At 36.9% G+C, this 14,863-nt stretch overlaps 1 pseudogene across 1 annotated transcript in view, besides 1 other annotated feature; it reads right to left on the bottom strand.

Moving 5' to 3' along the window:
* The window catches only part of LOC101929583 (methylenetetrahydrofolate dehydrogenase (NADP+ dependent) 1 like pseudogene), a 60,728-nt pseudogene that overhangs the window by 8,024 nt on the left and 37,841 nt on the right, over nt 1–14,863 (bottom strand). The window lies entirely within an intron of this gene.
* Nucleotides 12,529–13,480: an enhancer, noted in NCBI's record as "OCT4-NANOG hESC enhancer chr9:69691376-69692327 (GRCh37/hg19 assembly coordinates)". NCBI's record gives its function as "activates a minimal SCP1, AML or CMV promoter by ChIP-STARR-seq in primed H9 embryonic stem cells {active_cell/tissue: H9 hESC(primed)}" and the evidence as "EXISTENCE:reporter gene assay evidence [ECO:0000049][PMID:30033119]".

Here is a 14,863-nt window from a genome sequence, read left to right as displayed (position 1 = left end):
CACGTCACGAAGTAGTTTCTCAGAATACTTCTGTGTAATTTTTATGTGAAGATATTTGCTTTTCCACAGTAGGCCTCAAAGGGCTCCAAATATCCACCTGCAGATTTTGCAAAAAGAGAGATTCAAAACTGCTCAATCAAAAGATACGTTCAACTCTGTGAGTTGAATGCATGCATCACAAAGAAGTTTGTCTGAATGCTTCTTTGTAGTTTTTATTTCAAGATATTTCCTTTTGCACCACAGGGCTCAAAGGGCTCCAAATATCCACTTGCAGATTCTACAAAAGGAGAGATTCAAAACTGCTCAATGAGAAGATAAGATCAACTCTGTGAGTTGAATGCATACCTCACAAAGAAGTTTCTCAGAATGCTTCTCTGTAGTTTTTATGTGAAGATATTTCCTTTTCCACAATAGGCCTCCAAGCTCTCCAAACATCCACATACAGGTTCTGCAAAAAGAGAGATTCAAAACTGCTCAATCAAAAGATAGGTTCAACTCTGTGACTTGAATGCACACATCGCAAAGAAGCTTCTCAGAATCTTTCTGTGTAGTTTTTATGTGAACATATTTGATTTTCCACAGTAAGCCTCAAAAGGCTCCAGATATCCACCTGCAGATTCTGCAAAAAGAGGGATTCAAAACTGCTCAATCAAAAGATAGGATCAACTCTGTGAGTTGAATGTGTACATCACAAAGAAGTTTCTCTGAATGATTCTGTGTAGTTTTATTTGCAGATATTTCCTTTTCCACAATAGGGTGAAAGGGCTCCAAACATCCACTTCCAGATTCTACAAAACAGAGATTGAAAACTACTCAATGAGAAGATAAGTTCAACTCAGTCAGTTGAATGCACACATCACGAAGAAGTTTCTTAGAATTCTTCTGTGTAGTTTTTATTGAAGATATTTCCTTTTCAACCATAGGGTGCAAAGGGCTCCAAATATCCACTTGCAGATTCTACAAAAAGAGTGTTTCAAAACTGCTCAATCAAAAGAAAGGTTCAACTCTGTGAGTTGAATGCCCATATCAGAAAGAAGTTTCTCAGAGTGCTTCTGAGTAGATTTTATGTGAAGATATTTCCTTTTCCACAATAGGCCTCAAAGTTCTCCAAATATCCACTTGCAGATTCTACAAAAAGAGTGTTTCAAAACTGCTCAATCAAAAGAAAGGTTCAACTCTGTGAGATGAATGCACACATCACAAAGAAGTTTCTCAGAATGCTTCTGTGTAGTTTTTATGTGAAGCTATTTCCTTTTCCACCATAGGCCTCAAAGCTCTCCCAACATCCACTTGCAGATTCTGCAAAAAGAGATTCAAAAGTGCTAATTGAAAGACAGGTTGAACTCTGTGAGTTGAATGCACACAGCACAAAGAAGTTTCTCAGAATGCTTCTCTGTAGTTTTTATGTGAACATATTTGATTTTCCACAATAGGCCTCACAGCGCTCCAAATATCCACTTGCAGATTCTACAAAAAGAGAGATTCAAAACTGTTCAATCAAAAGATAGGTTCAACTCTGTGAGTTGAACGCATACATCATTAAGAAGTTTCTGGGAATGCTTCTTTGTAGTTTTTATTTGAAGATATTTCCTTTTCCACCATAGGCTGCAGAGGGCTCCAAATATCCACTTGCAGATTCAACAGAAAGAGTGTTTCAAAACTGCTCAATCAAAAGAAAGTTTCAACTCTGTGAGATGAATGCACACATCACAAAGAAGTTTCTCAGAATGCTTCTGTGTAGTTCTTATTTGAAGATATTTGGTTTTCCACTGTAGGCCTCAAAGCGCTCCAAATATCCACTTGAAGATCCTACAAAAAGAGTGTTTCAAAACTGCTCAATCATAAGCTAGGTTCAACCCTGTGAGATGAATGCACACATCACAAAGCAGTTTCTCTGAGTGATTCTGTGTAGTTTTTATTTGAAGATATTTCCTTTTCCACCATAGGGCGCAAAGGGCTCCAAATATCCACTTGGAGATTCTACCAAAAGATAAATTCAAAACTGCTCAATGAGAAGATAAGTTCAACTCTGTGAGTTGAATGCACACCTCACAAAGTAGTTTCTCACAATGCTTCTGCATAGTTTTTATGTGAAGATATTTGCTTTTCCACTGTAGGCCTCAAAGGGCTCAAAATATCCACCTTCAGATTGTGCAAACAGAGAGATTCAAAACTGCTCAATCAAAAGATAGGTTCAACTCTGTGAGTTGAATGCACATATCACGAAGAAGTTTCTCTGAATGCTTCTGTGTAGTTTTTATTTCAAGATATTTCCTTTTCCACCATAGGGCACAAAGGTCGTCAAATATCCACTTGCAGATTCTACAAAAAGTGAGATTGAAAACTCCTCAAAGAAAAGATAATTTCAACTCTGTGAGTTGAATGCACACCTCACAAAGTAGTTTCTCAGAATGCTTCTGTGTAGTTTTTATGTGAAGATATTTCCTTTTCCACAATAGGCCTCAAAGCTTTCCAAACATACACTTGTAGTTTCTGCAAAAAGAGAGATTCAAAACTGCTCAATCAAAATGTAGTTTCAACTCTGTGAGTTGAATGCAAACATGACAATGGTGTTTCTCAGAATGCTTCTGAGTAGTTTTTATGTGAAGAAATTTCCTTTTCCACAATAGGCCTCAAAGGGCTCCAAATATCCACTTGCAGATTCCACGAAGAGAGTGTTTCAAAACTGCTCAATCAAAAGAAAGTTTCAACTCTGTGAGATGAATGAACACATCACAAAGGAGTTTCTCAGATTGCTTCCTTCTAGATTTTATGTGAAGATATTTCCTTTTCTATCATAGGCCACAAAGCGCTCCAAATGTCCACTTGCCGATTCTACAAAAAGGGTGTTTCCAAACTACACAATCAAAAGAAAGGTTCAACTCTGTTAGATGAACGTACACATCATAAAAAAGATTCTCAGAATTCTTCTTTTTTTGTGTGAAGATATTTTCTTTTCCAACTTAAGCCTCAAGGTGCTTGAAATGTCCCCTTGCAGATTCTCCAAAAAGAGTATTTGAAAACTGGTTCTCCTAAAGAAAGTTGGAACTCCAGGAGATGAGTGCAGACATCACAGAGAACTTTCTCAGAATGCTTCTATCTACTTTTTATGTGAAGATATTTCCTTCTCCACCACAGGCCTCGAAGCGCTGCCAAATGTCCACTTGCAGATTCTACAAAAAGAGAGTTTCCAATCTGCTCAATCAAAAGAAAGGTTTAACTCTGTGAGATTAATGCACGCATCACAAAAGTTTCTCAGATTGCTTCTGTCTAGATTTTATGTGAAGATATTTCCTTTTCTACCATTGGCCGCAAAGAGTTCCAAATGTCCACTTGCAGATTCTACAAAAAGAGTGTTTCCAAACTACTCAATCAAAAGAAACGTTCAACTCTGTGAGATGAACACACTCATCACAAAGAAGTTTCTCAGAATTCTTCTGTCTAATTTTTATGTGAAGATATTTCCTGTTCCACCATAGGCCTCAAGATGCTCTAAATGTTCACTTGCAGATTCTACAAAAAGAGAGTTTCAAAACTGCTCAATCAAAAGAAAGGGTTATCTCTGTGAGATGAATGCATATATCACAAACAAGTTTCTCATATTACTTCTGTCTAGATTATATGTGAAGATATTTACTTTTCTACCATAGACTGCAAAGCGCTCCAAATGTCCACTTGCAGACTCTACAAGAAAGAGTGGTACCAAACTGCTCAATCGAAAGAACGGTTACACTCTGTGAGAAGAACGCACACATCACAAAGAAGTTTGTCAGAATTCTTCTTTCTAGTTTTTATGTGAAGATATCTCCTTTTCCACCATAGGCCTCAAGCGTTCCAAATGTCCACTTGCAGATTCTACAAAAAGAGAGTTTCAAAACTGCTGAATCAAAAGAAAGTTTAAACTCTGTGAGATGAATGCACCCATCACTAAGAAGTTTCTCCGATTTCTTCTCTCTAGATTTTATGTGAAGGTATTACTTTTTCTACCATAGGTCGCAAAGTGCTTCAAATGTCCATTTGCAGATTCTACAAAAAAGAGTGTTTCCAAACTGCTCAATCAAAAGAAAGGTTCAAGTCTGTGAGATGAACGCACACATTCCCAAGAAGTTTGTCAGAATTCTTCTGTCTAGTTTTTATGTGAAGATATTACCTTTTCCACCATAGGCCTCAAAGCTCTCCAAATGTCCACTTGCAGATTCTACAAAAAGAGAGTTTCAAAACCGCTCAATCCAAAGAAAGGTTTAACTCTGTGAGATGAATGCACACATCACAAAGAAGTTTCTCAGATTGTTTCTTTCTAGATTTTATGTGAAGATATTTCTGTTTCAACCATAGGCCGCAAAGCGTTGCAAATGTCCACTTGCAGATTCTACAAAAAGAGTGTTTCCAAACTGCTCAATCAAAAGAAAATTTCAGCTTTGTGAGATGAACACACACATCACAAAGAAGATTATCAGAATTCTTCCATCTAGTTTTTATGTGAAGATATTTCCTTTTCCACCATAGGCCTCTAAGTGCTCCAAATGTCCACTTTGAGATTCTACAAAAAGAGTGTTTCCAAACTGCTCAATCAAAAGAAAGGTTTAACTCTGTGAGATGAATGCACACATCACAAAGAAGTTTCTCAGATGGCTTCTGTCTAGATTTTATGTGAAGATATTTCCTTTTCTACCATACGCCACAAAGTTCTCCAAATGTCCACTTGCATATTCTACAGAAAGAGTGTCTCCGAACTGTTCAATCAAAAGATAGGTTCAAATCTGTGAGATGAATGCACACGTCCCAAAGAAGTTTCTCAGAATTCTTCTGTCTAGTTTTTATGTGCAGATATTTCCTTTTCCACTGTTGGCCTCAAAGAGTTCCAAATATCCATTTGCGGATTCTACAAAAAGAGAGCTTCAAGACTGCTCAATCAAAAGAAAAGTTTAACTCCATGAGATGAATGCACACATCACAAAGAAGTTTCTCAGATTTCTTCTGTCTAGACTTTATGTGAAGATATTTCCTTTTCTACTACAGGCCGCAAAGCACTCCAAATGTGCACTTGCAGATTCTACAAAAGAGTGTTTCCAACCTGCTGTATCAAAAGAAAGTTTCAACTATGGGAGATGAAAGCACGCATCACAAAGAAGTTTTTCAAAATTCTTCTGTCTAGTTTTTATGTGAAGAGATTTCCTTTTCTACCACAGGCCTAAAAGGGCTCCAAATGTCCACTTGCAGATACTACAAAAAGAGAGTTTCAAAACTGCTCAATAAAAAGAAAGGTTTAACTCTGTGAGATGAATGCACACATCACAAAGAAGTTTGTCAGATTGCTTCTGTCTAGATTTTATGTGAAGATATTTCCTTTTCTACCATAGGCCGCAAAGCGCTAAAATTGTCCACTTGTAGATTCTACAAAAAGAGTGTTTCCAAACAGCCCAATGAAAGGAAACTTTCAACTCTGTGTGATGAACGCACGCATCACAAAGTGATTTCACAGTATTCTTCTGTCTAGTTTTTATGTGAAGATATTTCCTTTTCCACCACAGTTCTCAAAGAGCTTCAAATGTCCACTTGCAGATTGTTCAAAAAGTGTGGTTCCAAACTGCTCGATCAAAAAAAGTTTAACTCTGTGAGATGAACGCACACATCACAAAATAGTTTCTCAGAATTCTTTTGTCTAGTTTTTTGCGAAGGTATTTCCTTTTCCACCATAGGCCACAAAATGCTCCATATGTCCCCTTGCAAATTCCTCAAAAAGTGAGTTTCAAAACTGCTCAATCAAAAGAAAGGTTTAACTCTGAGACGAATGCACACTTCACAAAGAAGCTTCACAGATTGCTTCTGTCTATATTTTATGTGAAGATATTTCCTTTCCTACCATAGGCCGCAAAGCACTCCAAATGTCCACTTGCAGACCCTTCAAAAAGAGTGTTTCCAAACTGCTCAAATAAAAGAAAGATTCAACTCTGTGAGAATAAAGCACAAAAAACAAAGAAGTTTCTCAAAATTCTTCTGTCTAGTTTTTATGTGAAGATATTTCATTTTCCACCATAGACCTTAATGCGCTCGAAATGTCCACTTGCAGATTCCACGAAAAGAGTATTTCAAAACTAGTCCATCAAAAGAAAGGTTCAGACTTGGGAGATGAATGCACACATCACAAAGAAGTTTCACAGAATGCTTCTATCTATTTTTTATGTGAAGATATTTCCTATTCCACCATAGGCCTCAAAGCGCACCACATGTCCACTTGCAGATATTACAAAAAGAGAGTTTCAAAACTGCTGAATCAAAAGAAAGGTTAAACTCTATGAGATCAATGCACGCATCAGAAAGGAGTTTCTCAGATTACTTCTGTCTAGATTTTATATGGAGATATTTCCTTTTCAACCATAGGCTGCAAAACACACCAAATGTTCACTTGCAGATTCTGCAAAAAGAGTGTTTCCAGACTGCTCAATCGTAAGGAAAGTTCAAATGAGATGAAAACACACTTCAAAAAGAAGTTTCTCAGAATTCTTCAGTCTAGATTTTATATGAAGATATTTCCATTTCCACCATAGGCTTCAAAGCGCTCCAAAAGTCCACTTGCAGATTTTACAAAAAGAGAGTTTCAAAACTACTCCATGAAAAGAAAAGTTCAACTCTCTGAAATTAATGCACATATCACAATGAAGTTTCTCTGATTGCTTCTGTTAGATTTTATGTGAAGATATTTCCTTTTCCACCATAGGCCTCAAAGCACTCCAAATGTCCACTTGCAGATTCTACAAAAAGAGTGTTTCCAAACTGCTCAATCAAAGGAAAGGTTCAACTCTCTCAGATGAACGCATTCATCAAAAAGAAGTTTCTCAGAATTTTTCTGTCATTTTTTTATGTGAAGATATTTCCTTTTCCACCATAGGCCTGAAAGTGCTCCAAATGTCCACTTGCACATTCTATAAAAAGAGAGTTTCAAAACTGCTCTATCAAAAGAAAGGTTCTACTCTGTGAGATGAACACAAACATCACAAAGAAGTCTGTCAGAATTCTTCTGTCTAGTTTTTATGTGAAGATATTTCCTTTTCCACCGTACACCTCAAAGCACTCCAAATGTCCACTGGCAGATTCTACAAAAAGAGAGTCTCAAAACTGCTCAATCAAAAGAAAGGTTTAACTCTGTGAGATAAATGCATACATCAGAAAGAAGTTTCTCAGATTGCTTCTGTCTAGATTTTATGTGAAGGTATTTCCTTTTCTACCATAGGCCGAAAAGTGCTCCAAATGTCCACTTGCAGATTCTACAAAAAGAGTGTTTCCAAACTACTCAATCAAAATAAAGATTCAACTCAGTGAGATGAACACACACATCACAAGGAAGTTTGTCAGAATTCTTCTGTCTAGTTTTTATGTGAAGATATTTCCTTTTCTACCATAGACCTCAAAGCGCTCCAAATGTCCACTTGCAGATTCTACAAAAAGAGAGTTTCAAAACTGCTCAATCAAACTGAAGTTTTAACTCTCTGAGTTGAATGCACACATTACAAAGAAGTTTCTCAGATTGCTACTGTCTAGATTTTATATGAAGATATTTCGTTTTCGTCCATAGGCCAAAAAGCACTCCAAATGTCCACTTGCAGATTCTACAAAAAGACTCTTTCCAAGCTGCTCAATCAAAAGAAAGTTTGAACTCTGTGAGATGAACGCATACATCATAAAGAAGTTTGTCAGAATTCTCTCTAGTTTTTATGTGAAGATAAATTCCTTTTCCACCACAGGCCTCAAAGCACTCCAAACGACAATTTGCAGATTCTACAAGAAGAGGGTTTCAACACTGCTCAATCAAAAGAAAGGCTCAATTCTGTGAGATGAATGCACACATCACAAAGAAGTTTGTCCAAATTCTTCTGTCTAGTTTTTATGTGAAGATATTTCCTTTTCCACCATAGGCCTGAAAGCACTCCAAATGTCCACTTGCAGATTCTACAAAAAGAGAGTTTCAATACTGCTCTATCAAAAGGAAGGTTTAACTCTGTGAGACGAATGCACACATCCCAAAGAAATTTCTCAGATTGCTTCTGTCTAGATTTAATGTGAAGATATTTCCTTTTCTACCATAGTCCGCAAAGCGCTCCAAATGTCCACTTGCACATTCTACAAAAAGAGGGATTCCAAACTGCTCAATCAAAAGGAAGGTTCAACTCTGTGAGATGAATGCACACATCACAAAGAAGTTTCTCAGATTGCTTCTGTCTAGGTTTTATGTGAAGATATTTCCTTTTCCACCATAGGCTTCAAAGTGCTCCAAGTGTCCACATGCAGATTCTACAAAAAGAGTGTTTCCAAACTGCTTAATCAAAAAAAAAGTTCAACTCTGTGGGATGAATGCACACATCACAAAGAAGTTTCTCAGAAATCTTCTGGCTAGTTTTTATATGACGATACTTCCTTTTCCACCATCGTCCTGAAACAGCTCCAAATATCTACTTGCAGATTCTAAAAAAAGAGAGTTTCAAAACTGCTCAATTGAAAGAATGGTTTAACTCAGTGAGATGCATGCACACATCACAAAGAAGTTTCTCAGATTGCTTCTGTCTAGATTTTATATGAAGATATTTCCTTTTCTAGCATAGGCCACAAATTCCTCCAAATATCCACTTGCAGTTTCCACAAAAAGAGGGTTTCCAAACTGCTCAATCAAAAGGAAGGTTCAACTCTGAGGTGAATGCACCCATCACAAAGATGTTTCTCAGAATTCTTCTGTGTAGCTTTTATGTGAAGATATATCCTTTTCCAACATTGGCCTCAAAGCACTCCAAATGTCCACTTGCAGATTCTACAAAAAGGTAGTTTAAAAACTGCTCAATCAAAAGAAAGGTTTAAATCTGTGAGACGAATGCGCTCATCACAAAGACGTTTCTCAGATTGCTTCTGTCTACATTTTATGTGAAGAAATTTCCTTTTCTACCATAGGACGCAAAGCACTCCAAATATCCACGTGCAGATTATACAAAAGGAGTGTTTCTGAACTGGTCAATCAAAAGAAAGTTTCAACTCTGTGATATGAACCCACACATCACAAAGAGGTTTCTCAGAATGCTTCTATCTAGTTTTTATGTGAAGATATTTCCTTTACCACCATAGGCCTCAAAGCGCTCCAAATGTCCACATGCAGATTCTAAAAAAAGAGAGTTTCAAAACTGCTCAATAAAGAGAAAGTTTTAACTCTGTTAGATGAATGCACACATCACAAACAAGTTTCTCAGATTTCTTCTGTCTAGATTTTATGTGAAGATATTTCCTTTTCTATCATAGGCCGCAAAGTGCTCCAAATATCCACTTACACATTCTACAAAAGAATGTTTCCAAACTGCTCAATCAAAAGAAAGCTTCAACTCTGTAACATGAAAGCACACATCACGAAGAAGTTTCTCAGAATTCTTCTGTCTAGTTTTTATGTGAAGGTATTTCTTTTTCCACCAGAGGCCGCAAAGCGCTCCAAATGTCCACTTGCAGATTCAATGAAAAGAGAGTTCCAAAACTGCTCAATCAATAAAATGTTTTACTCTGTGAGATGAATGCACACCTCACAAAGATATTTCTCAGAATTCTTCTGTCTAGTTTTTATGTGAAGATATTTCCTTTTCAAAGATAGGCCTTAAAGCTCTCCAAATGTCCAGTTGCAGATTCTACAAAAACAGTGTTTCCAAACTGCTCAATAAAAAGAAAGGTCCAACTCTGTGATATGAGTGCACACATCACAAAGAAGTTTCTCAGAATTCTTCTGTCTAGTTTTTATGTGAAGATATTTCCTTTTCCAGCATAGGCCTCAAAGTGCTCCGAATGTCTACTTGCAGATTCTACAAAAAGTTTCAAAACTGCTCAATCAAAAGAAATGTTTAACTCTATGAGATGAATGCAGACAACACAAAGAAGTTTCTCAGATTGCTTCTGTCTAGAATTTATGTGAAGATATTTCCTTGTCTACCATAGGCTTCACAGTACTCCAAATGGTCCCTTGCAGATTCTACAAAAAGAGTGTTTCCAAACTGCTCAATCAAAAGGAAGTTTCAACTCTGTGAGATGAATGCACACATCACAAAGAAGTTTCTCAGAATTCTTCTGTCTAGTTTTTATGGGAAGATATTTCCTTTTCCACCATAGGCCTAAAAGCGCTCCAAATTTTCACTTGCAGATTCTACAAACAGAGAGTTTCAAAACTGCTCAATCAAAAAAAAGTTTTAACTCTGTGAGATGAAAGCACACATCACAAAGAAGTTTCTCAGATTGCTTTTGTCTAGATTTTATGTGAAGATGTTTCTTTTACTACCATAGGCCTCAAAGCGCTCCAAATGTCCACTTGCAGGTTCTACAAAATAGAGTTTCAAGACAGCTCAATCAAAAGAAAAGTTTAACTCTGTGAAATGAATGTGCACATCACAAAATAGTTTCTCAGATTGCTTCTGTCTGAATTCTATGTGAAGATATTTCCTTTTCTACCATAGGCCACAAAGTGCTCCAAATGTCCACTTGCAGATTCTACAAAATAGAGTTTCAAGACAGCTCAATCAAAAGAAAAGTTTAACTCTGTGAAATGAATGTGCACATCACAAAGTAGTTTCTCAGATTGCTTCTGTCTGAATTCTATGTGAAGATATTTCCTTTTCTACCATAGGCCACAAAGTGCTCCAAATGTCCACTTGCAGATTCTACAAAATAGAGTTTCAAGACAGCTCAATCAAAAGAAAAGTTTAACTCTGTGAAATGAATGTGCACATCACAAAGCAGTTTCTCAGATTGCTTCTGTCTGAATTCTATGTGAAGATATTTCCTTTTCTACCATAGGCCACAAAGTGCTCCAAATGTCCACTTGCAGATTCTACAAAAAGAGTGTTTCCAAACAGCTCAATCAAAAGAAAGGTTCCACTCTGTGAGATGAACGCACACATCACAAAGAAGTTTCCCAGTATTCTTCAATCTGGTTTTGATGTGAAGATATTTTCTTTTCCACATTGTCCTCAAACCGCTCCAAATGTACACTTCCAGATTCTACAAAAACAGAGTTTAAAAAATGCTCCATCAAAAGAAATGTTTAAGTCTCTGAGAAGAATGCACACATCACAAATTATTTTCTCATATTGCTTCTGTCTAGATTTTATTTGCAGGTATTTCCTTTTCTACCACTGGCCACAAAGCGCTCCAAATCTGCACTTGCAGATTCTGCAAAAGGAGTGCTTCCAAAATGCTCAATCAAAATGAAGGTTCAACTCAGTGAGATTAATGCACACATCACAAAGAAGTTTCTCAGAATTCTTCTGTCTAGTATTTATGTGAAGATATTACCTTTTCCACCAGAGGCCTAACAGCGCTCCAAATGTCCACTTGCAGATTCTACAAAAAGAGAGTTTCAAAACTGCTCAAGCCAACTAAAGTTTTCACTTGTGAAATGAATGCACACATCACAAAGTAGTTTCTCAGATTGGCTCTCTCTGAATTTTATGTGAAGATATTTATTTTTCTATCATAGGCCACAAAGTGCTCCAAATGTCCACTTGCAGACTCTACAAAAAGAGTGTTTCCAAACAGCTCAATCAAAAGAAAGTTTCAACTCTGTGAGATGAACGCACACATCAGAAAGAAGTTTGTCAGAATTCTTCTCTCTAGTTTTTATGTGAAGATAAATTCCTTTTCCACCGTAGGCTTCAAAGTGCTGCAAATGACCATTTGCAGATTCTACAAAAAGAGGGTTTCAACACTGCTCAATCAAAAGAAAGGCTCAATTCTGCGAGATGAACGCACATATCACAAAGAACTTTCTCAGAATTCTTCTGTCTTGTTTTTATGTGAAGATATTTCCTTTTAAACCATAGGCCTCAAGGCACTCGAAATGTCCACTTGAAGATTCTACAAACAGAGTATTTCAAAACTGGTCCTTCAAAAGAAAGATTCAACTCTGGGTGATTAATGCGCACATCACAAAATCTTTCTCAGAATGCTTCTATGTAGTTTTTATGTGAAGATATTTCCTTTTCCACCATAGGCCTCAAAGCGCTCCAAATGTCCACTTGCAGATTCTACAAAAAGACAGTTTCAAAACTGCTCAATCAAAAGAAATGTTTATCTCTGTGAGATGAATGCACACATCACAAAGTTGTTTCTCAGATTACTTCTGTCTAGATTTTATGAGAACATATTTCCTAGTCTACCATAGGCCGCAACGTGCTCCAAATGTCCACTTGCAGAGTCTATAAAAAGAGGGTTTCCAAACTGCTCAATCAAAAGAAAGTTTCAACTCTGTGAGATGAACGTGCCCATCACAAAGTTTTTCAGAATTCTTCTGTCTACTTTTTATGGGAAGATATTTCCTTTTTCACCATAAGCCTCAAAGTGCTCGAAATGTCCACTTGCAGAGTCTACGAAAAGAGAGGTTCAAAACTGCTCAATCAAAAGAATGGCTTAACTCTGTGAGATGAATGCACATATCACAAAGAAGTTTCTCAGATTGCTTCTGTCTAGATATTATGTGAAGATAATTCCTTTTCTACCATAGGCCGCAAAGCGCTCCAAATGTCCACTTGCAGATTCTAAAAAAGAGAGTTTCCAAACTACTCAATCAACAGAAATGTTCAAATCTGTGAAATGAATGCACACATCACAAAGAAGTTTCTCAGAAATCTTCTGTCTATTTTTATGTGGAGATATTTTCTTTTCCACCGAAGGCCTCGAAGTGCTCCAATTGTCCACTTGCAGATTCTACAAAAAGAGAGTTTCAAAACTCCTCAATCAAAAGAAAGGTTTAACTCTGTGAGATGAAAGCACACATCACAAAGAAGTTTCTCAGATTGCTTCTGTGTAGGTTTTATGTGAAGATATTTCCTTTTCTACCATAGGCCGCATAGCGCTCCAAATGTCCACTTGCAGATTCTACAAAAAGAGAGTTTCCAAACTGCTCAATCAAAAGAAAGTTTCAACTCTGTGAGATGAACGCACACATCACCAAGAAGTTTCTCAGAATTCTTCTGTCTAGTTTTTATGGGAAGATATTTCTTTTTCCACCATAGGCCTAAAAGGGCTCCAAATGTCCACTTCCAGATTCTACAAAAAGAGAGTTTGAAAACTGCTCAATCATAAGAAATTTTAACTCTGTGAGATGAATGCACACATCACAAAGAAGTTTCTCAGATTGCTTTTGTCTAGATTTTATGTGAAGATATTTCCTTTTCTACCATAAGCCTCAAAGCGCTCCAAATGTCCACTTGCAGATTCTACAAAATAGAGTTTCAAGACAGCTCAATCAAAAGAAATGTTTAACTCTGTGAGATGAATGCACACATCACAAAGATGTTTCTCAGAATGCTTCTGTCTAGTTCTTAAATGAAGATGTTTCCTATTCCACCATAGGACTCAAAGGGCTCCCAATGTCCACTTGCAGATTCTACAAAAAGAGTGTTTAAACCTGCTCAATCAGAAGAAATGTTCAATCCGGTGAGATGAATGCCCACAACACAAAGGATTTTCTATGAATGATTCTGTCTAGTTTTTATGTGCACATATTTCCTTTTAAACCATAGGCCTCAAAGCGCTTCAAATGTACACTTGCAGATTCCACAAAAAGAGTTTTTCAAAACTGCTCAATGAAAAGAAAGGTTCTAATCTGTGTGAAGAATGTACACATAACAAAGAAGTTTGTCAGAATATTTCTGTATAGTTTTTATATTAAGGTATTTACTTTTCCACCATAGGCCTCAAAGAGCTCCAAATGTCCACATGCAGATTCTACAAAAAGAGTGTTTCAAAGCTGCTCATTCAAAAGAAAGGTTCAACTCTGTGACATGAATGCGCAATCATGAAGAAGTTTGTCAGAATGCTTCTGTCTAGTTTTTATGTGAAGATATTTCCTTTTCCACCATGGGCCACAAAGCGCACCAAATGTCCAAATTCAGATTCTACAAATAGAGTCTTTCAAAACTACTCAATCAAAAGAAAGGTTCTACTCTGTGAGATGAATCCACACATCTCAGTGAAGTTTTTCAGAATGTTTCTGTATAGTTCTTGTGTGAAGATATTTCTTTTTCCACCATTGCCTCAAAGCGCCAAAAATGTCCACTTGTAGATACTACAGAAAGAGTGTTTCAGAGTTGCTCTTGTCCGATTGCTTCTGTCTAGATTGTATGTGAACATAGTTCCTTTTCTACCATAGGCCACTAAGTGCTCCAATTGTCCACCTGAAGATTCTTCAAAAAGTGTGTTTCCAAACTGCTCAATCAAAAGAAAGGTTCAACTCTGTAACATGAAGACACACATCTCAAAGAAGTTTCTCAGAATTCTTCTGTCTAGTTTTTATGTGAAGATATTACATTTTCCACCATTGCCTCAAAGCGCCAAAAATGTCCACTTGCAGATACTACAGAAAGAGTGTTTCAAAGTGGCTCAATCAAAAGAAAGTTTCAACTCTATGAGATGAATGCACACATCACATAGAAGTTTCTCAGAATGCTTCTGTCTAGTTATTATGTGAAGATATTTCGTTTTCCACCATAGGCATCAAAGCGCTCCAAATGTCCACTTACAGATTCTACAAAAGGAGTGTTTCAAAACTGCTCAATCGAAATTAAGGTTCCACTCTGCGAGATGAATGCACACATCACAAAAACTTTGTCAGATTGCTTCTGGCTAGTTTTGTGTGAAGATATTTCCTTTTCCACCACAGGCCTCAAAGCTCTCCAAATGTCCACTTGCAGATTCTACAAAAGGAGTGTTTCAAAACTGCTCTATCGAAAGTTAAGTTCAACTCCATGAGATAAATGGCAACTCCATGAGATAAATGACAAATAAGCTTGTCAGAATGCTTCTGCCTAGTTTTAATGTGAAGATATTTCCTTCTCCACCATAGGCCGCA

This window comes from Homo sapiens, chromosome 9 (genome assembly GCF_000001405.40).
Source record: "Homo sapiens chromosome 9, GRCh38.p14 Primary Assembly".
NCBI classification, from domain to species: domain Eukaryota; kingdom Metazoa; phylum Chordata; class Mammalia; order Primates; family Hominidae; genus Homo; species Homo sapiens.
The sequence above is the reverse complement of the archived record's forward strand: the minus strand, read 5'-3'. Positions and strand labels throughout refer to the sequence as shown.